This window comes from Homo sapiens, chromosome 11 (assembly GCF_000001405.40).
Source record: "Homo sapiens chromosome 11, GRCh38.p14 Primary Assembly".
Classification (NCBI taxonomy): Eukaryota; Metazoa; Chordata; class Mammalia; order Primates; family Hominidae; genus Homo; species Homo sapiens.
Window position 1 is genome coordinate 3,042,389 of NC_000011.10, and position 25,619 is coordinate 3,068,007.

Here is a 25,619-nt window from a genome sequence, read left to right on the forward strand (position 1 = left end):
CGAATCTCGGTCAACATTACGCAGGTCAAAGACAACTGCGTCTTTTTTTTTTTTTAGACGGAGTCTCGCTCTGTCGCCCAGGCCAGAGTGCAGTGGTGTGATCTCGGCTCACTGCAAGCTCTGCCTCCCGACAACCGCGTCTTTCTTTTGCTTTCTAATATTCTGTATGGCAGCATACCCCAATAACACCCTTAGAGCCCCAGGAGGGCGGAGGAATGCCTGCACAGCGTGCCCAGCACATTCCACTGCTCTTCAAATACTGGCCCCTTTCTGGCAGTGAGCACACCACCACCTGGCACTCCTGGGTCAGTCAGGGCTTGACACTGACAAGGTATGGTCTGTTCTGCCGCAGCCCTGGGAACCTCCCCCACCCAGGATCCCTCACCTGGACAAACTGAGGATTTTGAGGACTCTTGTTGGGACAGAGGCCACCTCCAAGCCTCCAAGCCCTGGCAGCAGAAGCCAGGAGTCAGAGCAGAAAGGACCCCCTGTGGCCACGGCCAGCAGGCAAGACTGGCTCCAGCCCAGCCCCTCCTCATCACTTCGGACACTGCAGGAGTGGCTGGCTCCCAGCTCTGGGCCCACAGCCCAGCAGACTCTGATCCAGACACTGGGCTTCAAGCTCCACATAGGTCTATACTGCCTTCATAAATAACCTGAGCTCCTCTCAGCCTCCAGGCAGAGACCCCTGCCAGCCAGCCCCTCAGTGCAGTCACCTCCTCCTGGCCAGACTTCCCTAGTTGTTCCCCTCCACTCGCCTGTGGGCCGCCTGGGCTGCTCTGAGCACACTGCTTCCAGGCCTGGCTTCCAACCTGGCACAAGGCTGTCCTTACACAACCTGCATCTGAGATCCCTGAAGGGGCAGAGCTCTGTCCCTGGGGCCAGGGGCAGCCACAGGGTGATTATTCACCCTCTGAAACGTCAATCTGGCAAAGCTAGGTGTGGAGGACGGTACCTGGTGACTTTCCCGTTGCCCTCAGCCGGCTCCTGCCTGCCCTGCCCCCTCAGCAGATCCCCACTTTTCTCCACAGTCGTCGCCCACAGGTCCAGGTTCTGCGTTATGCTCTGCTGGGCACCTCTGACCCCAGCTGGTGCCTGGCCCTGGGAAGGGCTTCACATGTCTCTGCTGAGTGGCACCAGGAAGGCCTACGAGATGGATACTCCTAGCACTGACCTGTGCCCACCCCAGCAGGCCGCCTGGCAGCTCACCAGGGTGCTCGCATCCTGCCTCCTCCTGTCCCTGGTTTCTGTGCCAGAGGGTCTGGCAGCATGGCCAGCAAATTGCCACACACTGATCACGGGGAAGTTGGTCCTGGGCACCAGCCATCTCTTGGCCTCCCGGCTCTAGCTCAGGCCACACGAGCCAGGACGGCAGACGCTGATGACTAACAGGCCAAGGGGAGGAAGGAGGGCGGCTGCACTGTGTCTGGGCAGTGGGGGTACTGTGGGCAGGTGGGAGATGGGGCAGGAGACGGAGAGAGGGCCAGTGCTCAGCAGGAGCCCCCACTCTAGGTGAGTTCCAGTGGTCACAGGTGGTCAGATTCTAAAGCGTAGGCAATCTCCAATCTTAATCAAACATCATGTGCTTATTGAGGCCAAGTGCAGCTCGGCCTCAGTGTACTTTAAATGCCTCACAAGCCCTTGAAGGAGAATCTCACTCAATGCCTGGAGGCATTCAACCGGCCACTCTAGGATCCCATCACTCTCCTCCCTCACAAAGACCCTGGAGCTCCTTCAATAGGACACTGCTGCCATCTCAGACAGCTGGAGACGCTGCCCAGAAACACAGCCATGAGGCCACGGGATCATCACACTCACCCTGCTATGAGGAAACGGCCCAGGGTTCACAGGACTGAAAGCTTGTCCAAGAAGCCTGGCCACAGCCAGCATTCCTGCTCCCCTAAGGCTGCTATCTCCACACAGCTGGCGATGGGCTCCCCAGGAAAACGGGTTACCAGGCCCAGATATACAAATTCAGATTTGCAAAAGGGAAGAACTGAGAGATATCACATAAGGACCCTTGCCCCCCTTTTTTTTTTTTAGATAAAATCTGGCTGAAGTGCACTGGCGCAATCTCAACTCACTGCAACCTCCGCCTCCTGAGTTCAAGCGATTATCCTGCCTCAGCCTCCCAAGTAGCTAGGACTACAGGCACCTGCCACCACGCCCCACCAATTTTTGTATCTTTAGTAGGGATGGGGTTTCACCATATTGGCCAGGCTGGTCTCAAACTCCTGACCTTGTGATCTGCCTGCCTTGGCCTCCTAAAGTGCTGGGATTACAGGTGTGAGCCACCGCGCCTGGCCTGTGCTTTTGTTTCTTTGGAAAAAATGAACACACATTCGTTGATTCCAGAGTCCCACCCTGACCTGAGTGATCCAACAACAGACCAACTATGAACCGCTCATGAGAGACATGGCTTTGAAACAGGGATGTGGGAGGCTGAAGATAAAATGATGGAGAGGGAAGCCAGGAAGTGGCAAGCAGTCTGCCTACAACACACCAGATGCAGATAGGACCCAAGCAAGGGGTTCATGGAGAGAAATCCTTCATCAGGAAGTTAAGGGTCCTCCATCGGAGGGGTGAGAGCAACACCAAACCTTCATGTTCCTGAAACTATGGCCTCGGCGTCTGACAGACCCACACCCTCCTCAGTGAAGGGTATAGCTGACACTCCTTCCCGGGGGGTAGGGAGAGGCCGGCGGGCTGGAAGGGCTGAGCCTCCACTGCGGGTGAGAAGTGCTCAACAAGTTCAACGTCCTGATATCCAGTGGACCTCCGTGCTGGAGGCTGGTGATCCAGGGAAGGGATCCACCAGGAAGGGGTCTGGCTTCACAGGAGTAGGGACCTGGGGGTTAAGCAGAGCCTTTCCATTATCTCCAACCCCCCACCCCGAGACGGAGTCTCGCTCTGTCACCTAGGCTGGAGTACAGTGGCACGATCTCGGCTCACTGCAAGCTCCGCCTCCCAGGTTCAGGCCATTCTCCTGCCTCAGCCTCCCGAGTAGCTGGGACTATAGGCACCCGCCATCACGCCCGGCTAATTTTTTGTATTTTTAGTAGAGACAGGTTGTCACCGACTTAGCGAGCATGGTCTCAATCTCCTGACCTCGTGATCCGCCCGCCTTGGCCTCCCAAAGTGCTGGGATTACAGGAGTGAGCCACCGCGCCGGGCCAAGCAGAGTCTTTCCATGTCTGAGAGGATCTTGGAGACAGGACACAGAAGGCACATGGGAGGAGCTGGTAACAGGCGGGCACACTGAGGGCCAGACACAGGCACATCTGATGCTGCTGGGATGTCCAACAGAGGTGGAAGGGCGAGCAGGAGGAGGGGCACATGGCCCACTGTGCCAGCAAGGAAGGTGCATGCTTGGGGAGTATGAGCCATGGAAAGAGAGGGCGTTCCCACTCAGTGGGGGAAGCAGCTCTGATTGTCACAGCTACATGGAGGGAGATCCACAGCTACTGTCATCCCAGGGACATGGGCGAGGACACTACACTGGACTCCATGGCGCCTTGGACCCACTCGAGGTCACTGGATGCTCTAGCAGTCCCAGACTCCAGCTCCCACCTCCCCCTTCAGCCCCTGCTCAGTGTACAGCAAGCTTGAGTGAGGGTCGCCTGACATAATGCCCATCATTCCTGGCACAAGCAGACCCTGGCAGCCTCTTGCGCAGCCTGGGTGATGAGGGGATTTGGAACCTGGGGAGGGCACAGCAACTCCATTAGTGCTATCCATGGTCCATTCTGTTACACAGCAACGTGGCTCTGCTTCCTCTCTGTAGGTTAAAAAGTGTTTGCAAGAGCAAAACCCTTCCTTCCTCTCACAGTGTGGATGGAGGCTTGCGTCTGTGCCGCTCTTTCAACAAGTCCCTATGAGGGAAGCCTGGACAGGCCACTGCTGAGCTGGACGTACCAGGCCCGCTTCACCCTCCCTAATCCTGCCCCCCTCTGGCTGTGTCTTGGAATGGCACATGGCAGGGGGAACAACCTGACACCCGAGCCCTTGGAGAGAAGGCACCTCACAGCACAGGTGTCACTTGGGTGACCGCGCTGGAGGCTCAGGCAGGAACGGCTACATGGGGAAGGACGTGACCTGCACAGCAACGGCCTCTGCCCTACGCTGGGGAAGGAGTGTCTGCTGCAGAGTTATCCAGAAAACACGACCCACAGGAGATGTGACATCCCCACCTCCAGCCTGGTTAAAACAGTGATCTAGCAGAGGCCTGACCCACGGCAGAGGCGGGGGGGCATGTTCCCAATCCCAGGCCCCAACGGAGTCTGGAGAAGCCCCCAGAAGGCTGCCAGCTACAGCCAGGACCACCAGAAAACAGCACTAAACCTGCCCCCACATGAAGGTGGAGGAGTGCCCACAGCCACAGGAGGAGCTGGGCCACCCAAAGGCATACTTCAGTGATGATGGCATGGAGCCCCCTCAGATTTGCCACAGAGTGACAAAGCCATGCAGGCATCCCAGGAGTATCTCCCGCAAATAACCACAGGCACGTTCCACAGACACAACCAGCACCAACAGGCTGGAGCTACGGGACAGACATCATCTCAAAGAGAAAAAATGACTTATTTCTGATTTTTAAAAAGTTCAATGCCGGCCGGGCGCGGTGGTTCACACTTGTAATCCCAGCACTTTGGGAGGCCGAGGCGGGTGGATCACGAGGTCGGGAGATCGAGACCATCCTGGCTAACACGGTGAAACCCCGTCTCTACTAAAAATACAAAAAATTAGCCAGGCATGGTGGTGGGCGCCTACAGTCCCAGCTACTCGGGAGGCTGAGGCAGGAGAATGGCATGAACCCGGGAGGTGGAGCTTGCAGTGAGTGGAGATCGCACCACTGCACTCCAGCCTGGGCGATAGAGCGAGACTCCATCTCAAAAAAAAAAAAAAAAAAAAGTTCAATGCCAATTAATACTTTAGGATTCAACAATTCTAAAGCTGGAGGATAGACACGCTACAATCTTATGGAAGAAATAAAGAGAAAGAACTGAGTCAACCAGAGCCAGGCACAGCCTTAGCTAAAAATCACAAGGCTAGGGCCCGTGGCCTGGGCATGCTACGTGGAACCCCAGAGCCGCAGCGGCTCTGCACCCCACCACCTCAGGCAATCCTGCCACACCAGTGATGTGAACATACTGCTCCTGAATAACCAACTCCATAGGGCGTGATTTTATCCCAACCTCCATCCAGCAAGCGCTGCATCTGCCCATCCAGGCCACTTGCTCGAGACACACTTGGGCGAGGCTCCCTCTGGGGTATCCGCAGACGCCAGGTAAGCACCAGGGTGATGGAGAAAGCCCTTGACCTTGGGAGAGAGGTTCTAATGGCCAGGGAACCCACTCTGTTACTCACTTGCTTGGAGCCTGCAGGGCTGGCCTTTGCCACAGGGGCTACCCAGGAGCGCTTCTATGTGCCTGAACCACCGAGCCACGTGGAAGAGCTGGGGGTCAGCGGGCGGGGCCGAGAGCTGCCTGAACGCGTCCACGTCTGCCTGGGACAGTGAGTACCCCTGGACATAGCTACGCGTGCTGAGGTGCTCGTTCAGGGCTTGTGCCCTGGCTGCCTCGTCACTAATGCTCAGAATGGACCTGTAGTCAGGAGCTGCAAAGACAGAGGGCACATGGTGTCAGGCAGGCAGGCGGGCAGCCCAGAGGCCGCCAGAAAGACAGGGACTAGGGGATGGCACAGAACCAAGGAAAAAGGTGTTCAAGCCCTTCCCTGGACGCCAAACATCCAGAACAGGCAAAGGCACAGGGGCAGCGCTTCGACTGGGGGCGAGGGAGTGACTGCCTGACAGGTATGGATGGGTTCCCTCTTGGGTGATGAAAATGCTTTGGAACTAGACAGAAATGAAGGCTGCATGACAACATCATGCGCCAAATACCACAGAATTGTGTACTTTTCACTTTATGTCATATAAATTACTTAGTTTTTACATTTTTAATTTATGTTTTCTATCAGGGAAAGCAGGAACACAGTTCCACACCATCACAAATTACACAGTTCAGTTTCTGACATTTGGGGAAATCATAGGGGTCAGCACATCTGGAGTATAACGGATAAGCCTCGCCTTGGGAAAGCTACCTACATGATCATGGTATCCCTCCTGTCAGCTAAGTATGTTACGAGAATTTAACCTCAATTTTTAAAAACTCACAACAGAAATCCCCCAAACCAAACCAACTTCAAGCCTCTTTGCCGCAGCGGCACCCTCTCCCTCTGGGTGCTGGGGGATGAGGGGTAGGAGAACCCCACATTGACAATGTGTGCCATTTACACCCCTGCACCAAGAGACAGCTGGACTCTAGCATGGCTTCTGCAGGTCAAGGCCACAGCCTCAGGAGGACTGGGCCCCCTCAAAGGACCAGCCCAAGAAAGCACAGGGCTGCCAGGAAAATGTGGCTGCTCCAGCCAGCCTCACCTGGCCCCTGGCCCCTGGCCCCAGGCCCCAGCCTCCCTCCTTAGAGCCTTCAAAGCAGTAAGCGTGCACCTCCACCACTCAGGTGTGTCACTCAAGGACCCAAGAGCCACTGTTCCGCATGTCACCATTGGGAGGAGGAGCAGAACCCTAACTTTCACCACTGCCAGCTGTAGACAAGGCCGCCTTGACACATGCACGCTGACCAGCTCCATGGCTTTTTTCATTTGAGCCCCTGCTCACCCTCCTTCTCCTCCTCCATTCTCCCTTTTTTATTTTTATTTATTTATTTATTTATTTATTTTTATTTTTTAGAGACAGCGTCTGACTCTACTGCCCAGGCTGGAGTGCAGTGGTGCAATCAAGGCTCATCACAGCCTCAAAATGCTGGGCTCAAGTGACCCTCCAGCCTAAGCCTCCTGAGTAGCTGGGACTACAGGCACATGCCACCAGGCCCAGCTAATCATACTCCCTTTAAATCCAAAAGTCACCTCTGCTGAACTGGCAGGGAACGCAGCTCCTTCCCCTACTGTCAGGAATTAGGGAATAAAATCTGTCTCACCATTCTAAGGAATATCTCCCTGCAATTACCTCTGACACGGGAGTTGTGGACCAGGTGCTGTGTCCACAGCCCACGTCCCTAAAGTGGGGGCAGACCAGGCAGATGGTGCCAGGCTTCTGGCCAGAGGAGGGAGTCTGGTCCCTGAGCCCATGAGCACAGGTGCATCCAAACCTTGAACCAGTGATTGTGTTTGCTGAGAGGACTGTGGGAAAAGGACCGATGCTTGCTCCTTCCAGACAGATACCCTCTCACCCCAGAGTTCACTCAGGGTAGGAATGCACATGTCTGGCCACCCCTTGCTGTGCCAGCTGCCCTTCCTGGGCACAGGCTGCCCGACATCACAGCCATGGGGCGTGGATGCCCTGCACATCACAGTCCCCCTCTCTGCCTTCTCCCATTCCCTTTTGTCCCCCATCTCCGTGTTTACTCCTGGCACAGAGCCAGAGTCACCCCAACCAAGCCCACACAGCTTCTGAAAACAGAGAGCAGAGTGTGTTGCGGGGGTAACTGCACACGAATGCCTTTCTCTGCTTTGCTTAGTGTGGGGAAAGCCCTTCGTGTCAGGCCAATAACTGGCACTTCCCGGAACGCTGTGGTGTCAGCAAAGATGAGTCAGAATGGAGTGCACAGCTGCAGCAGCAAGAATGCCCCACTGGGCCGAGCTCTTCACCCGCCAGGGAGCCTACGGAGCCACGTGATGCCCCAAGGCCCAGCCTCCGTGGCTGCCGGAGAAGATGTCCTGAAGCCACCTCTTCTCTGCAGTAAAGGGGTGGGCACTCTGTGGGAGAGCCTTCCTGAAGTCTCAACATGGATGCAGGGCTTAAAATGGCTTCCTGGGATGACTCTCGCTGGTGGGATGACGAGTGCAGCGTCCCTCTAACTTGCCCTGCTTCCTTCCCACTGCACGGAGCCACTGTCCCATCTGACCCCAATAAGATGGCCACCCACTCCAAGCAGCCACAGGCACCCAGAAGCAAAGCTCTGGGCACACTCCCTAGCCAAAACTGGAATCACACCCCTTTACAAGTTATCCTTAGGAGCACCCATAGCCAACCCACGGGAGGATCCGGGGCCTCTAACTCAAAAGAAGCTTTGGACTTGAGAGCCAGCCCTTGTCACCTGGATTCCTGCAAGCCAGACACCGCCACCTGTAGCCAGCATGGCTCTCCCCTCACAGCCACAGGCCTCCAGCGGCCCTGCTGAAAAGCGCACGTTCACATTACTGCCCCCAACACCCACCTCGCCAGCAGCACAAGCCTGTCCTCATGCTGGCCATGGGCCCCCACCTGACTCACAATACCCTAGTCACATGGCCCCTCCACCTGCTGCTCTTTTTTTAGGGGGCATGCTCCCCAGATACCAGCAGGCCCCTTAATCCTTCACAGCTCTGCTAGGTGCCGGCTTCCCCACCAGGTCTTCAAGGACTCCCTGTCCATATGGCGCCCGCCTCTAGACCCTGAGCCTGGCTGCTCTTTCTCTCCGCAGCACCCCTGTCTAACACGTGCCCGCATTTCTTTCCTTCACCATCTGCCCCACCGCTCCATCTACCTTATTCACTGCTCGATCTTCAGCATCTACAACTGAGCGTGTGACATTCCAGATATCAGCTAAAGTTGCCTAGGGCACAGATGAGTGGACAGCAGAATGGCACCACAGAGTGCATGCCACCAGTGGTGGGCTGGCGTTCCCCTGTGGCACTGGGCCTCATGCACCCTTCTCAGAAAGACACCTGCACAAGGACCAGTGCTGGGAACCGGCCACAGCCTCTGCTGCTTTGAGCCCCCAGGGGCTTGCTTAGCAGGAGCCCTGCTGCCCAAAGATACCAGAGACATAAGAACAAGTCACTTTTCACTTCAGCTCTTCCAACAGTCCAAGGAAAGAGAAAGACAGGGGTGGACTCTGGCCCCACTGAAGGCGCCTGGGGGGTGCCGGGAGCTCTTGAGGGCCTCTCACCTGCCCCATCCCCACAGTTACAGGCCCAGTGTCAGCACTGACACTGCCGGGGCTTCCCTCTGAGAAGAAGGAGGCTGCTTACATGGAGATGCGCTCTCCTCCCAGCTGGAGATGAGATCAGGGAGGACGGAGGCGGAGGCAGACCCACAGAGGCAGCTCCAAGCACCCCAAAGTGAGGTCCTGGAAAACTAACTCTAAATAAATATCAGACTCCTACAAACTCTTTTGCAGAGCAACTTCCAGCCAGGAGACTTCTAGTTTAGCTGGATATTTCCCTCCAACAGCTCTGCAGCTGCCAGCAGGGGTCCCATTTCATGATAAAGAAAATGAAGTTCACTAAAGATTAGAGAACTTGCCAGAGGGATGGACAGAGCTGGAAGGTGAGCCTTGTCCCCTCACAGATCAGGCCACAGTTCGAAAGCTGTTCCCCAATGCTGACCCTCCACATTCCTCTCCCCTGTCCCCTCCCTGAGCCTTGGTCTTCTGCAACTGCTCATGCCTGGGTTGGACTCCACGACAGCAAGAGGGAAGAAGAGACAACAGCAGCACCCTGAGAAACAGTGACACAGCATCGGCTTCCAGCTGAGACAGCGAGCTGACAGTCACGTGCCTCTCACACTCAGAATGGATTCTGATGGAGAGACCACCAGCAACAGCCCGAACACTGACAGTGACGATGGTTGATGAGAGGGGGTGACAGGTGATTTTAATTCCCTCTTTTTCTTCATTGCTCACATTTTCTGCAGTAAGCATCTGCTATTTTTAAAATGAGAAAAACATCAAATGTCCTAACGGCGGCTGCAGTGGCTTTTGAGCGCTGAGGAAGCAGTCTGGGAACTGAAGCCGCTGTGTATCCGCTCTCTGGAGACCTGAGGGGCGGCCCCGACGCCCTCCAGGGCTGAGTACCTACACTCACACACACGGCGGCATTTCCTCACGGTAAAACACGCTCATAACATCAGCCCTGTAAAGCTGCAGGCCATTAAGTCAAATGACACTTGTAAAATGTTTAAAAGCTGCCTGGCACAGAGCCAGGGGCCCCATTTGCCATCATTATTATCATAATCGCTCTGGTATTATTAATGTTATTGTAATAGCCGCATGCTACACACAGAGAATTTCCTGGAGTTTTCCTAGGGCTCACACACCCATTTTTATTTAATTAATTTTATTATTTTAAAAGTTTATTACCAAATCTGCCTTGATCTTGGATCACATAATTCTTAAATGTACCGTCTAGAGCAGGCTAGACGGCTCATCAAAAGGGAACCAAGACCATGCTTGGGAAGGATCTTCTCAGAGCAGAAAGGTGCTGGTGCCCAGGGAAGCACAGGAGAATGACAGGCTTCCATGAGATGGACGCAGACAGTCATTTGGGTAATCGTGGTAGCTGCATTTAAGTGTGTCTCGAGGAAACAAATAAAAATAGGTCAGCTTTCAAGTGGTCATGGGTTTGAGCCAGGCTGTGGATCAGTCTGATGCTGAGATCAGATGAGAACACTTCTGAGCAGACTGAAAACCTCCCAGGGACCTGTTCCTCGACACTGGCCCTCATCGTAGAGCCTGCACGCTCCGTGCCGAAACTCCTGCTCTGCCCCCATGAGAAGGAATGTCCACCACCGGATGACCTTGCAGTTCAGTTCATCAACACATTGAGGGACATGGGAATGTCCCAAAGGTGGATGGTGGTTGTCACCGGCTACAAAGGTGGAGTCTCTACAGAACATTTATTGAAATCACATGCAAGTACCAAGCAATTGCTCAGCACAGATACCAAAACAAAGCCACACCAAATGAACAACAACCCTGACACGTCAAACAACTGTGGCAGTGCGACCTCTCCCTCTCTCTGGCTCTTTCCTATCAGCATTTATTTTTTATTTATTTTTATTTTATTTTATTTTATTTTATTTTTTGAGACGGAGTCTCGCTCGTCACCCAGGCTGGAGTGCAGTGGCATGATCTCGGCTCACTGCAAACTCTGCCTCCCGGGTTCAAGCGATTCTCCTGCCTCAGCCTCCCGAGTAGCTGGGATTACAGGTGCCCGCCACCATGCCCAGCTAATTTTTGTATTTTTAGTAGAGACGGGGTTTCTACATATTGGCCAGGCTGGTCTAGAACTCCTGACCTCAGGTGATCCACCCACCTCGGCCTCCCAAAGTGCTGGGATTACAGACGTGAGCCACCATGCCTGGCCTCCTGTAAGCATTTAAACCTCTCCCGGCTGCCCTGTTTCTCTTCCTGCGTTCCCTTGAGGCTCTCCCAGGTCCACTCCAGGCATGGCCCTGGTGTGCCTTCAGCAGCAGAACCTGGGGGATCCAGAGAAGTCACATTCTTGGGCTCACCAGAGACCTGCCAAATCAGAATCTCTGGGGTGGGCCCAGCAAGTGAGGTTTAAACCAGCTTCCCCATGGGTGGAAAGCTTGCTAAAATGCAGACCCCTTTACAGCAGGTCTGAGCTCCTAATAAGTGCCCCGGTTTGGTGGGGGTCTGCACCCCTCACTCACCCTGACCCTTTGCCCTCTGACCCTGCTACTTCAAAGGTCCCACCAGGGTCCTCATCTTGTGGGTGTCCAGGCAACATCTCACCCTGCAGGTTACTCCCTTTCTGCAAATGTTCCCCTGGTCCCACCCTCTACAGCTGCTCCTCTTGGGTCCTTCCCAGTGATCCACTCCCTGCCCAAGAAGTGTTCAGAAAGGGGACCGGAAAAAGCCCCCAGACATGAATCGTGGGGAGGAGAGAGGGGCATGCACCCCTGCTCTCACCAACTAGGAGCCAACACTGCCCACTCCCAGAGACCAGCGCCTCCTCCCACAGGTGAGGGCTTCCCCTCCCACTCCCCGTCCTGATCACCAGCCCCGGAGGTCCAGCTGCAACTCGTTCACAAAGGTGGCCCCCAGGCATCCTCTCTCACCCCCAAGAACAGCATCTCCATCTTCCTCCTTACTGGGAGGGAGGTTATTCATTATTAGGGGCATCCAACATCCCTCACAATGAGCCTGTGGGGTGATCAGACAGCAATATTGCCACCCAGAGCACCCACACTGGAAATGGCTTAATCTCCACCCCAAGGGTACTGCCTAAGGCTCTTCAAATACCCGGAAACATGGTACCTGAGTTCATAGAGGAGCAAACATTTCATGTGGCTCTGGGGAAAACATCGAAGGGCATCAGCTTTATTCTCGTCTGCCTTAACTCACTGGGTTGAGCTATTGTGAGTCTGAAGAGAATCATCAAAGGCAGCACAGCACAGCAGTTAAGGTCCCTATTGAGTCAGGCTGCCCAGGTTGGGAGCCTGGCTGTGCCTCTGGCTAGTCGTGATGGTGGACAGATTGCTTGACTTCTCTGAACCTCAGGATTCTCATCTGTACAAGATGCCGGCAGGATCTTCCTCAAAGGGGTTCCCCCAAGGGTGGCAGGAGATAACAGATGCAAAGCATTTAGAGCAGTGCCTGGCACAGACTCATGCTGAAAAAATGCTGGCTGTGTTATTATGAAGACCCTTGAATTAAACTGTATAAAAATTAAACTATAAGTCTGACCTGATGAGCAGCCGACCAAGTGGTATCCCAAGTCTGTGCGGAAAGGCCCTGAGGTAGGCTCCATCTACCCCAGAAACCTCAGAAATGAAACTCATCCTTCTGAAATAATCAGGCTCTTGGACAGGCACCAAGCCTATGCACCTTCAAGACCGCAAAGGAAAAGCTGTACACCCAGTGAGATCAGGAAAGAGAAATAGACCTTCTGAGTCAACTTAGGGAAGATGGTACAAAAATGATGGCCTCCTTGAAAAATCTGGGAAGATGGTCACTGAAAGCATTTACGATTGGATTTTTTTTTTTTTGAGACGGAGTCTCGCTCTGTCGCCCAGGCTGGAGTGCAGTGGCGCAATCTCGACTCACTGCAAGCTCCGCCTCCTGGGTTCACATCATTCTCCGGCCTCAGCCTCCGAGTAGTCAGGCGCCCGCCACCGCGCCCGGCTAATTTTTTTTTTATTTTTAGTAGAGACAGGGTTTCACCATGGTCTCGATCTCCTGACCTCGTGATCTGCCTGCCTCGGCCTCCCAAAGTGCTGGGATTACAGGTGTGAGCCACTGCGCCTGGCCTACGATTGGATTTTATTTCCTGTTCTCATCTTTGAGAGTGTGTGTGTGATGGGAGGAGGCGATAGTAAAGGCAGGTGGGCCATGCCCTGGGGCAGAAGAACACTGGCTGGAGATGCTGTGCGCAGGCTGAGGACTGGGCAATCTGCCTGCTGCCCTGACAGCCCGGAGAGGGCAATCCCAACCTATATGGCAAGCTCCAAAAAGAAGGCAATTCTTACAAGGCTCTGAAAACCTAAAATTCTAAAGCTATTTTTAAAAACAAGATACAAAACACTACTAATACGTCATTTACGTTCACAAATGAACAAAAACACATTTTTAGTTTGAAAACAAACAGGCCCTAACTTTCAGCACAGACACAGCACTTAATTGAGTGCCAGGCACTGTTCTACGTCCTTCCCATCTATTAATTCATTTACACTCCATGCTCCAAGGTAGGAGCCATTACGCATGGTTTGCTGTGGGGCGGGAGGCAGAGTTGGAACCCTGGCCCTTCCAGGGTGGTTCCAGAGTTGGGGCTGTTAACTATGATGCTGTTTTACAGGAATCTGGGTGACTTCTGAGGGCCGCTTGGCTCTGGGACGGGTGGAGATGGTGCTGGAATCCAGGCACACAGGTAGGGTGGTAGGCGGCGTGCCTGGAAGGTGACCACCTCCTGCCACTTGGCACAAGAGTGTAGCCCTGTCATCTGGGTGTCCCCATGCCGCCAGATTACTCGGGTTGTCATAACTACCTATCTATAACCCAATAAACCCTCAGGGGCAAAGGGCACCACCAGATGCTAAGGAAATCTTGGTACGATCTAAACTGAGGGTGGGGGCTGGAGGTGTCTTACAAGAACTTGCATCTAATTTTTGCCAGCCAAAAGAATTAAAAACTAGATACTGAGAATGTTTCCTTTGGAAAGGCTGCTCCAGACTGTTAGGAATCTGGGCTTTCTGATTCAGTCTCTTGCCTTTCCAGCACCTAAAATCTTGCTGGAGGGACAGTGAGAGAAGAACCCACTGGTCTCTCAAGGTCTACCCGCTGGTGACATGAGTGACTGGGGGAGCTGACACAGCTGTGTCCCTGGGGAACCTCCCGGGTTGGCAATAAAATGGGGCAGTAATGCTCTGACAATCAGCTTGCAGTGGACTGCCTGCGGAACTGGAGATGAAAGCCTTCGTAAAGCCCCAAGCCCTTTTACTGTGTGTACGCGTACCCCTGGCGTCCTCTGCCCCATTTCCCTAAATACCAACCTCAGGTGCCCTCCGCCCACCTCCCGGAAGCTGCCAGGTCTGGGCAGAAAACCAAAACAACCCTTGGGCCTTTGTCTCCCCCCTAAAGGCCAGCTGGGGCAAGAGGGAGCGAGGGCCCGCCCAGGCACCGGCTGGGGAAAGGCTGTTTGATGTAGGGCCACCTCCCGGGGTGAGGATGCAAGGGGACCTCGGCAGGAACCAAGTGAGGAAACTGAGGCTGGGTGGTCTGGGCAGCGCCCCGCTCGGGCTCGGGTCCCCGCGGGGTCTGTGCTCCAGCCACGGGTCTGGCAGACCCTCACGCAGGAGTCCCAGGGGTCCCAGTGGCCGTCCCTCGGAGCCGGGCACCCGTTGTCCTTCGGATCCTAGGACGTGCCACCCCTCGAACCTCAGGACCCGCCGTCCCTCAGACCCCGGGCACTGACACCCCTCAGACCCCGAGCACCCCCGCCCCTCGGACCCAAGGACGTGCCGTCCCTCAGACCCCGCGCACTGACACCCCTCAGACCTCGGGCACTGCCGCCCCTCAGACCACGGACACAGCTGCCCCTCAGAACCCATGCACCCGGGCCCCTCAGACATAAGGACTCGCTGCCCTTCGAGCCGAGCACCCAGCGCCCAGTCAGGCCCCCAGCCGCCCTCAGCCTGGCCCGGCCGCGCCGCTCACCCTGCTGCCCGGAGGAATCTGCCATGGCTGGGAATCCCGGACCCGCAGCTGCGGCTACAGACACTTCCTAGAATCTGATGCAACCGCCGCCCCGGAAGTCGCGCCCCACGCCGGGCCCGTCTTCCGGGACACGCCCGGTCGCTAGGCAACTACCAGGGGCTCCGGATGTCGCCGGCCCGGAGCATGCTGGGAGCTGTAGTTCAACCCAATGGCGACCCGCGCTCCGGAGCATCGCGCGGCCAAGCGTTCAGTGGCCGTGCTGGGAGTAGTCAGCCCAGCCGCGGGGAGACAAGCACTAAAGACTGAGCGTCCTGTAATAGGTGTTTAAGTCATGATTGCGCTAAGCGCCGTGGGGACCAGGCCCAGCCTGGAGGTCAGAGGCGGCCTCGGGACAGGGTGTGCTGGCGAGACGGGATGGTTCCCAGGAGGCCGACCTGGAGCAGGGCCTGGGGATGGGCGGGAAGAGCGCTCCAGGCCTAGGGACCGCCCTGCCAATGACCCTGCGGAAAGCAAGCCACTATGAAGTGTTGCGTGAACAGGCTTCTCCATCTCCTTCTCAGACCCCATTCTGGAGCCATCCCCAACCCCCTTAGGGCTCCTGCCTTCTGTGTGCATGATGTCACCTCCCAAGGATATCCCACCCAAGGTTCGTGCACCCATCCAAAATGAGAGGAAATGCTATTTAAGAAACAGAATTTTAATATGTCAAGAAAAATTATTAGCCAGGATTAGTGGCTCATGCCTGTAATCCCAGCACCTTGAAAGGACAAGGCAGGAGGATCATTTGAGTCCAGGAGTTTGAAGCTGCAGTGAGCTACGACTGTGCCACTGCATTCCAGCCTAGGCGACAGAGTGAGACCCTTTCTCAAAAAATAAAAAGTAAAAAATCTTCTAGTTACTTTTTGGAACCTCATGTCTAATTTCATAATAAATTCTAAGGCCGGGCACGGTGGCTCACACCTGTAATCCCAGCACTTTGGGAGGCCGAGGTGGGCGGATTATGAGGGCAAGAGATCGAGACCATCCTGGCCAACATGGTGAAACCCTGTCTCTGCTAAAAATGCAAAAATTAGCTGGACATGGTGGCGCTTGCCTGTAGTCCCAGCTACTCAGGAGGCTGAGGCAGGAGAATCGCTTGAACCAGGGAGGTGGAGGTTGCAATGAGCCGAGATTGCGCCATTGCACTCCAGCCTGGCAACAGAGTGAGACTCCGTCTCAAATAAATAAATAAATAAATAAATAAATAAAATAATAAATAAATAAATTCTAAATTCTACTGGTGGCTGGAAAAAAAAAAGAAGAAAGAGTTTGTTTACATTTCTGCAAAGATCCTGTAGCATGTGCTGTAACTTGCCCAGGATGTGGGAGGCTCTGTGAGACCCCAACTAATCCCAAAGGAGGGACCAAGTCCAGGACTTAGGGGACGAAGTTCTGGCCAGGTCCTACCATGACTCTCACAGTGCCTGTTTCTCACTCATCACTCTAGGACCATGAGTCACCCAAGCCCAGCTCGGCCACATGCCTTCCTGGGAGAAGGAACCGGAGGCGCCCAGGAGAGTCAGAAGCCTCTTAGAGATAAACATTCGGCTAAGGCTTGCCCTGCCCTTCCTTTCTTGCACTAAGAAAGCCTCCTGACATCAGGTCAGGCAAGCCAGAGTTTGGCTGTAAGACCTGGGGTGAGTTTAACTTCTCTGAGCTTCCAGATGTCTTGTTTTTAAATCTGCAAAGTGGGGCCGGGCACTGTGGCTCACGCCTGTAATCCCAGCACTTTGGGAGACCAAGGCGGCCAGGTCATTTGAGGTCAGGAGTGCAAAACCAGCCTGGCCAACATAGTGAAACTTCATCTCTACTGGGAAAAAAAAAAAGGGTCTGCAGAGCGGAACTGGGAAATGATCACCTGCTCAGGTGGCCGAGCTGTGTCTAAGAGTGCTGCAGTGTCTAGCAGCAGTGGGTCCCGCCTCCCCAGTCCTGCTGCGTCCCAGCCCTACCACCAGGGCAAGGACACTCTCTGAACCTCAGCATCCCCCTGGTGTTGTAGTTCTTTGGGACAGCACATTGGGTTACAGGTTGTTATGGGTTGCATTGTGTCTCTCCCAAAAGATGTGGAAATCCTATAACCACCAGGACCTGTGAATGTGACCTTATTTGGAAATAGGGTCTTTGCAGATGATAAAGTCATAAGATGAGGTCATTAGGGGGGACGTTAATCCAGTATAACTGATATCCTTGTAAAAAGGGAAAATTTCAGCTGGGCATGGTGGCTCACACCTGTAATCCCAGCTCTCTGGGAGGCTGAAGAGGGAGGATGGCTTGAGCCCCAGAGTTTCAGGTTGCAGTGAGCTATGATTGTGCCACTGCATGCCAGCCTGGGTGCAGAGTGAGACCCTGTCTCTAAAATAAATAAATGAATAAATAAATACACATATATAAATTAATTTAAAAAAATTTTTTGAGACGGAGTTTCACTCTTGTTGCCCAGGCTAGAATGCAATGGTGCCATCTTGGCTCACCGCAACCTCAGTGTCCCAGGTTCAAGAGATTCTCCTGCCTCAGCCTCCCGAATAGGTGGGATTACAGGCATGTGCCACCATGCCCGGCTAATTTTGTATTTTTAGTAGAGACGGGTTTCTCCATGTTGGCCAGGCTGGTCTCGAATTCCCGACCTCAGATGATCCGCCCGCCTCGGCCTCCCAAAGTGCTGGGATTACAGGCGTGAGCCACCATGCCCAGCCAATTAATTAAAATGTTTAAGTGGAGGAAATTTGGACACTGACAAGCAGGGAGGGTGCCATGTTAAGATAAAGGCAGAAACTGGGGCGATGCTTCACAAGCCAAAGGGCACCAAACATTGTCAGCAAATCACCAGAAGTCAGGGGACAGCCTGGGACAGATTCTCCCTCACAGCCCCAGAAGGAGCCCACCCTGCTGATGCCCTGACCTGAGACTTCCAGCCTCCAGAACTGTGAGACAATAAATCCTTGTTGAAGCCCCCAAGCCTGGCAGCCCCAGCAAACTGATAATGAGGATTTCACAAGAGCACGTAGGGTAAGGACATCACACAGAACCCTGCCTACTAAATATTCCGCAAGTGCAGACCCATCCTGGAAGCTTCACTGGCCTGTTCTGGATGGCTGAGGGGCTGATGCCTTGGTCTGGCCCTGGGCCATGGGCAGCAGGTGAGTGAACAGCACCTTCCCCGGGCAGCTGGACTTTCCTCGGCCACCAGTGGCCACCGTGCAGGGCTCTCCCTTGAGTCTCCTAAGGGCCAAGGCCAAGTTCTCCAAGAACGCTGCTCTTTCCATGCCAGAGGATGGACAGTCCCCCTCAGTGTCCATGGGCAGCAGGGTGTCGCTGGGCCCACTGCTTTGAGGTGACTAAAGCAGAGTGATTTCTTTGCTGGCACAGCCAGCAGCTCAGGCCCTACCCAAACCACTTTTAGGGAAAGAAATGTCACATGGCCTGCAAGCCAGGGTAGCGCAGCGTTAGAGACGAATACACTCAGGTGAGCTCCCAGCTCTGCTGCCAACTCCCGGGGGGGTCCCAAGACAAGCCTGTTGTGGGTTGAGCTGTGGTCCCCCCAAAATGATTATGCCCATGTTCTAACCCCTGGTACCTGCGACTGTGACTTGATTTTTATTCATTTATTATTTTATTTTTTTTTAAAGCAGGGTCTCGCTCTGTCACCCTGGCTGGAGTGCAGTGGTGCAATCACAGCTCACTGCTGCCTCAACCTCGTGGGCTCAAGTGATCCTCCCACCTCAGCCTCCTGAGTAGCTGGGACCACAGATGTGCACCACCATACGTGGCTAATTTTTTATATTTTTTGTAGAGATGGGGTTTCATTATGTTGCCCAGGCTGGTCTTGAACTCCAGGGCTCAAGTGATCCTCCCGCCCTGGCCTCCCAAAGTGAGAGGATTACAGGCGTGAGCCACTGGACCTGGCTGGCTTTATTTGAAAAAGGCGTCCTTGCAGATATAATCAAGTTAAAATGAGGTCATCCTGGATTAGAATGGGTCCTAATCCAATGCCTAGTGTCTTTATGAGAGAGAGATTCAGAGATACAGAGATAGGTGTGAAGGGGGAAGCAATTGGAGTGATGTAGCACAAGCCAAGGATGGCCGGTGGCCACCAGAAGCCAGGAGAGAGGCAAGGAAGGACCTCCTGGAGAGCCTCTGAAGGAACCCACCCTGCGGACGCCTTGGTTTGGAACTTCTGGCCTCTGGAGCTGTGAAAGAATCAATCCCTATTGTTTCTGTTTTTGTTTTTAATGTTTAACTGTTGTGGGTATATGGTAGGCATGTAAATTCCTATTTGTTTTTAAAAATTATTATTATTATTTTTGAGACAGAGTCTCGCTCCCTCACCCAGGCTGGAGTGCAGTGGTGCAATCTCAGCTCACTGCGACCTCTGCCTCCTGGGTATAAGTGATCCTCCTGCCTCAGCCTCCCGAGTAGCTGGGACTACAGACGTGCACCACCACACCCAGCCACGTAATAATTTTTATATTTGTAGTAGAGACGGGGTTTCACCATGTTGGCCAGGCTGGTCTCGAACTCCTCACATCAGGTGATCTGCCTGCCTCAGCCTCCCAAAGTGCTGGGATTGGAGGCGTGAGCCAACGCGCCCAGCCTGCTTTTATTTTTAATGTTTAATTGTTGTGGGCGCTTGGTGGGTGTGTAAATCCCGATTGTTTCTGTTTTTAGTTTTAGTGTTTAATTGTGTGGGAATCTACATGGTAGATGTGTGAATTTGTATTGTTTCTGTTTTTAATGTTTAATTGTGTGGGTGCATGGTGGGTATGTAAATCCCGATTGTTTCTGTTTTTAGTTTTAGTGTTTAATTGTGTGGGAATCTACATGGTAGATGTGTGAATTTGTATTGTTTCTGTTTTTAATGTTTAATTGTGTGGGTGCATGGTGGGTGTGTAAATCCCGATTGTTTGAACACCCCAGTTTGTTGTCATTTGTTACTGCAGCTTGGGGACGCTTGTGTGAAGTCCTTTTCCTCTCTGTGCCTCAGTTTCCACTCAGCCGTTTAAACAACCAGAATTTCAGTCTTCCAGCACAGACACCTGGGGCTGCAATAAGGTGAATGCAGACACCATGACGCAGGCTAAAACTGGGAGTGCAGGCAGGAAGGCCTGGGGCTGCCCCACACCCACTCCTGGAAGTTTTGGGGACTTTGCTGCTGCTCATGCAAAGGTCTAAATGCCCAGCTCTGTGCCAGGGCCCTGAGACACCGTCAGGCATTTCCAGGAGGATGTGCCCAAACGCCAGCATGGTCCTGACAGGGCTGCCAGGCTCATTTGCCTCTTCTGAAAGCAAAAAGAAGAGACATGAAATGAATTTCTATTAACTGGGACCATGACTTCTGCGAAGGAATGAAAATGCTTTTAATTCATAACCAAGAAATCCTACTTACATTTGAAAAACTTGTCAACCCATTGCTGAACATCTGGGAGAACACGGGGCGGGGGTGGGCTTCGTTAGTGCCCAGCCTGGAACCCCCCAATTGCCCCGAGGACCTCCCTGGCTCAAGTAGCTCCAGTCTCTCCCGGCTTGATACCAGGAACATCATGGCGCACAGCTCGCGTCCCAGGTCAGCCTTCGTCTTCTGTCTATAATTACACCACCCTCTTGAACGTCCCTGGACCAGACGTGTATAACAGCACATGTCCATGAGCCGACATCAAGAGGACCATGCTCTGCATACCATCCTGTGGCATGCCCTCCCCTCTGTGGGACCCCTCATGTTGTGCAGGGACCCCCAGTCCTCTCTCACAGCTGTGCAGTGTGCCGCTGTGGGAACTCACAGCTGTTTACAGCCCTTTCTCTGTCGTGGACATCTGCTTGGGAGGCTGAGGCAGGAGGATCGCTTAAGCCCAGCGGTCAAGGCTGCAGTGAGTGGAGACACTCAACGCCAGCTGCTGTGAAAGCAGCCAGGAGGGAGGTTGTACCCTGAAAAGCCACAGGGTCAGAGCTGCCCAAGACCATGGGAACCCACCTCTTGCATCTGCGTGGCCTGGATGTGAGACCTGGAGTCAAAAGAGATCGTTTTGGAACTTTAAAATTTGACTCCCCCTCTGGATTTTGGACTTGCATGGGCCCTGTAACCCCTTTGTTTTGGCCAATCTCTCCCATTTGAAACAGCTGTATTTACCCAATACCTGTACCCCCATTGTATCTAGGAAGTAACGAGCTTGCTTTTGATTTTACAGGCTCATAGGCGGAAGGGACTTGCCTTGTCTCAGATGAGACTTTGGACTGTGGACTTTTGGGTTAATGCTGAAATGAGCTAAGACTTTGGGAGACTCCAGGGAAGGTATGATTGGTTTTGAAATGTGAGGACTTGAGATTTGGAGGTGTCAGGAGTGGAATGATATGGTTTGGGTATGTCCCCACCCAGATCTCATCTTGAATTGTCCTCCTATAACTCCCACGTGTTGTGGGGGAGACCCGGTGGGAGATAATTTGAATCATGGGGGTGTTTTCCCCCATACTGTTCTCGTGGTAGTGAATAAGTCTCATGAGATCTGATGGTTTTATCAGGGGTTTCCACTTTTGCATCTTCCTTATTTTCTCTTGCTGCCACCATGTAAGAAGTGCCCCTTTCAGCCGCGACTGGAGCAGCTGGGACGAAGGGCACCAAGTCCCTAGGCTGCAAACAGCACGGGGACCCTGGGACCAGCCCACAAAACCATTTTCTCCTAGGCCTCCAGGCCTGCGAAGACCTTTGACATGCCCTGGAGACATACCCCATTGTCTTGGGGATTAACATTCCGCTCTCGTTACTCATGCAAATTTCTGCAGCTGGCTTGAATTTCTCCTCAGAAAATGGGTTTTTCTTTTCTATCATATTGTCAGACTGCAAATTTTCCAAACTTTTACGCTCTGCTTCCCTTATAAAACTGAATGCCTTTAACAGTACCCAAGTCACCTCTCGAATGTTTTGCTGCTTAGAAATTTCTTCTGCCAGATACCCTAAGTCATCTCTGTCAAATTCAAAGTTCCACAAATCTCTAGGACAGGGGCAAAATGCTGCCGGTCTCTGCTAAAATATAACAAGAATCACCTTTGCTCCAGTTCCCAGCAAGTTCCTTATCTTCATCTGAGACCACCTCAGCCTGGACCTTATTGTCCATATTGCTCTTGGGCTTTTGGTCAAAGCCATTCAACAAGTCTCTAGGAGGTTCCAAACTTTCCCACATTTTCCTGTCTCCTTCTAAGCCCTCCAAACTGTTTCCGTCTCTGCCTGTTACCCAGTTCCAAAGTCACTTCCACATTTTTGGGTATCTTTTCAGCAATGCCCCACTCTACTGGTACCGATTTCTGTATTAGTCCATTTTCATGCTGCTGATAAAGACATACCCAAGACTGGGAAGAAAACGAGGTTTAATTGAACTCACAGTTCCACATGGCTGGGGAGGTCTCAGAATCATGGCGGGAAGCAAAAGGCACTTTTTTTTTTTTTTTTTTTTTTGAGATGGAGTTTCACTCTTGTTGCCCAGGCTGGAGTGCAGTGGCTCGATCTCCACTCACTGCAACCTCCCAAAAGGCACTTCTTACATGGCGGCGGCAAGAGAAAATGATGAGGTGTTAAAGCAGAAACCCCTGATAAAACTGTCAGATCTTGTGAGACTTATTCCTACCACAAGAACAGTACGGGGGAAACTGCCTCCATGATTCAAATTATCTCCCACTGGGTCCCTCTTACAACATGTGGGAATTATGAGAGTACAATTCAAGATGAGATTTGGGTAGGGACACAGCCAAATCATATCAGATGTTGAGCATTTTTTCATGTTTGTTGGCTGCTTGTATGTCTTCTTTTGAGAAATGTTTGTTCATGTATTTTGCCCACTTTTTTTTTTTGAGCTGGAGTCTTGCTCTGTCGCCAGGCTGGAGTGCAGTGGCGTGATCTCGGCTCACTGCAACCTCCGCCTCTGGGGTTCAAGCAATTCTCCCGCCTCAGCCTCCTGAGTAGCTGGGACTGCAGGCACACACCACCATGCTTGGTTAATTTTACATTTTTAGTAGAGCTGGGGTTTCACCATGTTGGTCAGGATGGTCTCAACCTCTTGACCTCGTGATCCACCCACCTCAGCCTCTCAAAGTGCTAGGATTACAGGTGTGAACCACCACACCTGGCCTTTTGCCCACTTTTTAATGGGATTATTTGTGTGTTGCTTGTTGAATTGTTTAAGTTCCCTATGGAGTCTGGATATTAGACCTTGGTCGGACAGATAGTTTGCAAATACTTTTTCCCATTCTGTAGGTTTTCTGTTTACTCTGCTGCTAGTTTCTTTTTCTGTGCAGAAGCTCTTTAGTCTAATTAGGTCCCACTTGTCAATTTTTGTTTTTGTTGCAATCGCCTTTGAGGACTTAGTCATAAATTCCTTCCCAAGACTAATGTCCAAAATGATGTTTCCTAGGTTTTCTTCTATCATTCTTATAGTTTGAGGTCTTACATTTAACTCTTTAATCCATCTTGAGTTAATTTTTGTATATAGTGAAAGACAAGGGTCCAGTTTCATTCTTCTGCATATGGCTAGCCAGCTATCCCAGTACCGTTTATTGACTAGGGAATACTTTTCTCATTGCTTATTTTTGTTGACTTTGTCAAAGATCAGATGGCTGTAGGTGTGTGGCTTTATTTCTGTTTGTTGGTCTATGTGTCTATTTTTGTACCAGTACCGTGCTGTTTTGGTTACTGTAGCCATATAGTATAGTTTGAAGTGAGGTAATGTGATGCCTCTGGCTTTGTTCTTTTTGCTTAGGATTACTTTGGCAATTTGGGCTCCTTTTTGGTTACATATGAATTTTAGAAGTTTTTCTAGTTCTGTGAAAAATGATGTTGGTAATTTGTTTATTTTTAATTTTTTAATTTTTTTTATTTTTTTGAGACAGGGTCTCACTGTCACCTAGGCTTGAGTACAGTGGCATGATCACAGCTCACTGCAGCCCTGATCTCCCAGGCTCCAGTGATCCTCCCACCTCAGCCTCTTGAGTAGCTGGGATTACAGGTGCATGCCACCACACTGGGCTAATTTTTGTCTTTTTGGGAGAGATGGGGGTTTTTGCCATATTACCCAGGCTGGTCTCAAACTCCTAGGCTCAAGCAATCCATAGGCCTTGGCCTCCCAAAGTGCTGGGATTACAGTGTGAGTCATCACGCCCAACCAATGTTAGTAATTTGAGAGGAATAGTGTTGAATCTATAAACTGCTTTGGGCAGTATGGTCATTTTAACGATATTGAGGCTAGGGGCAGTGGCTCATGCCCATAATCCCAGCACTTTGGGAGGCTGAGGCGGGTGGATCACCTGAGGTTGGGAGTTCAAGACCAGGCTGACAAACATGGAGAAACCCTGTCTCTACTAAAAATACAAAAATTAGCCGGGCGTGGTGGTGCATGCCTGTAATCCCAGCTACTCAGGAAGCTGAGGCAGGAGAATCACTTGAGCCCGGGAAGCAGAGGTTGCGGTAAGCAGAGATTGCACCATTGCACTCCAGCCTGGGCAACAAGAGTGAAACTCTGTCTCAAAACAAAACAAAACAAAACAAAATATATTGATTCTTCCTATCCATGAGCATGGAATGTTTTTCCATTTGTTTGTGTCATCCATGATTTCTTTCAGCGGTGTTTTATAATTCTTCTTATAGAGATCTTTGACCTCATTGGTTAGATGTATTAGTAGGTTTTCTTTTTCTTTTCTTTTCTTTTTTTTTTTTTTTTCTGTGTGGCTATTTTAAATGGGACTGTTGGGACTGTGTTATTTCTTTCCTCCTTTCTTTCTTTTTCAAGATGGAATCTTGCTCTGTCACCCAGGCTGGAGTGCAGTGGCTCAATCTCGGCTCACTGCAATCTCCACCTCTCAGGTTCAAGTGATTCTCCTGCCTTAGCCTCCTGAGCAGCTGGAGGCACCCACCATCACGCCCAGCTGATTTTTGTTCAAGCGATTCTCCTGCCTCAGCCTCCTAAGTAGCTGGGATTACAGGCACCCGCCACCACGCCTGGGTAATTTTTGTATTTTTAGTACAGACGGGGTTTCACCATGTTGGCCAGGCTGGTCTCAAACTCCTGAGCTCAGGTGATCTGCCCACCTCGGCCTCCCAAAGTGCTGGGATTACAGGTGTGAGCCACCATGCCCAGCCATGAGTCTTTAAGCCCGTAGGCATACACCATCATGATCAAAACAAAAACCCTGTCCAAACCAAACACAAGGATGGCTGGCAGTACAGTCCCCAGGTCAGGCCTGTGCAGGAGCAGGCTGGTCCCCATCTCTGTCCCACCTCCCATAAAGGCCACCTGTCAGCTAACACTGAGCCTGGACCCTTGCCTTGGGGTGAGAGCGGCATGACCGAAGTCCTGGCCCACCCTGTGGCAGGCTCTTCTGTCCCTGTATACCCAGTGCCAGGAGGGTCAGTGTGTGACTTGGACCTGCACCCCACACTTCTTTCCTCCAACCCCAGCAGAACACAGCCCACCCATCTCAGAACAGGCATCGACCCCCTCTCTGCTCACCAGGGCACTTCCCCTGAAGGAAGGGCAGAAGAAAACCCCTTCTGGGGAGGGGTAGGATGGTCAAAGGTGGGGAACGGACATGGAAAGGTCTACTCACCCCAGTCGGACACGTCCTCCCCACCCAGGGCGGTCTCCAGTTCTG

At 52.5% G+C, this 25,619-nt stretch overlaps 1 protein-coding gene, 1 long non-coding RNA gene and 1 pseudogene across 16 annotated transcripts in view, besides 5 other annotated features; 1 reads left to right on the top strand and 2 right to left on the bottom strand.

Annotated features, from left to right (window-relative positions):
* Positions 1 to 15,035, bottom strand: part of CARS1 (cysteinyl-tRNA synthetase 1) — a 56,495-nt gene extending 41,460 nt beyond the window's left edge. For 7 of the 15 annotated variants that reach the window (NR_036542.2, NR_165428.1, NM_001014437.3 and 4 more), the window contains exons 1-2: positions 14,955 to 15,035; positions 5,365 to 5,613 (exon numbers count right to left, since the gene is read on the bottom strand). Coding sequence is in view for 7 of the 15 variants with exons in the window: in NM_001014437.3 (NP_001014437.1) it covers positions 5,365 to 5,613; positions 14,955 to 14,979 (274 nt within the window). In the remaining 8 variants the exon portion in view is untranslated. Of the gene's footprint in view, positions 1 to 5,364; positions 5,614 to 12,488; positions 12,652 to 14,954 lie in introns of all 15 variants that reach the window. The other 8 variants (NR_165430.1, NR_165429.1, NM_001751.6 and 5 more) reach the window with 2 other exon arrangements.
* Positions 73 to 1,008: an enhancer, noted in NCBI's record as "H3K27ac-H3K4me1 hESC enhancer chr11:3063691-3064626 (GRCh37/hg19 assembly coordinates)". NCBI's record gives its function as "activates a minimal SCP1, AML or CMV promoter by ChIP-STARR-seq in primed H9 embryonic stem cells {active_cell/tissue: H9 hESC(primed)}" and the evidence as "EXISTENCE:reporter gene assay evidence [ECO:0000049][PMID:30033119]".
* Positions 1,009 to 1,944: an enhancer, noted in NCBI's record as "H3K27ac-H3K4me1 hESC enhancer chr11:3064627-3065562 (GRCh37/hg19 assembly coordinates)". NCBI's record gives its function as "activates a minimal SCP1, AML or CMV promoter by ChIP-STARR-seq in primed H9 embryonic stem cells {active_cell/tissue: H9 hESC(primed)}" and the evidence as "EXISTENCE:reporter gene assay evidence [ECO:0000049][PMID:30033119]".
* Positions 5,971 to 6,133, bottom strand: RNU1-91P (RNA, U1 small nuclear 91, pseudogene; annotated as a pseudogene).
* Positions 7,713 to 7,782: an enhancer, noted in NCBI's record as "active region_4307". NCBI's record gives its function as "activates an Ori minimal core promoter by ATAC-STARR-seq in GM12878 lymphoblastoid cells {active_cell/tissue: GM12878}" and the evidence as "EXISTENCE:reporter gene assay evidence [ECO:0000049][PMID:35858748]".
* Positions 14,689 to 15,221: an enhancer, noted in NCBI's record as "NANOG-H3K27ac-H3K4me1 hESC enhancer chr11:3078307-3078839 (GRCh37/hg19 assembly coordinates)". NCBI's record gives its function as "activates a minimal SCP1, AML or CMV promoter by ChIP-STARR-seq in naive H9 embryonic stem cells {active_cell/tissue: H9 hESC(naive)}" and the evidence as "EXISTENCE:reporter gene assay evidence [ECO:0000049][PMID:30033119]".
* LOC124902615 (uncharacterized) lies at positions 16,236 to 24,539 on the top strand. Its single transcript, XR_007062555.1, has 2 exons — positions 16,236 to 16,630; positions 19,931 to 24,539. It is a non-coding gene; the product is annotated as an uncharacterized LOC124902615 (long non-coding RNA).
* Positions 20,168 to 20,794: an enhancer, noted in NCBI's record as "H3K4me1 hESC enhancer chr11:3083786-3084412 (GRCh37/hg19 assembly coordinates)". NCBI's record gives its function as "activates a minimal SCP1, AML or CMV promoter by ChIP-STARR-seq in primed H9 embryonic stem cells {active_cell/tissue: H9 hESC(primed)}" and the evidence as "EXISTENCE:reporter gene assay evidence [ECO:0000049][PMID:30033119]".
* Positions 24,540 to 25,619: the final 1,080 nt, after the last annotated feature.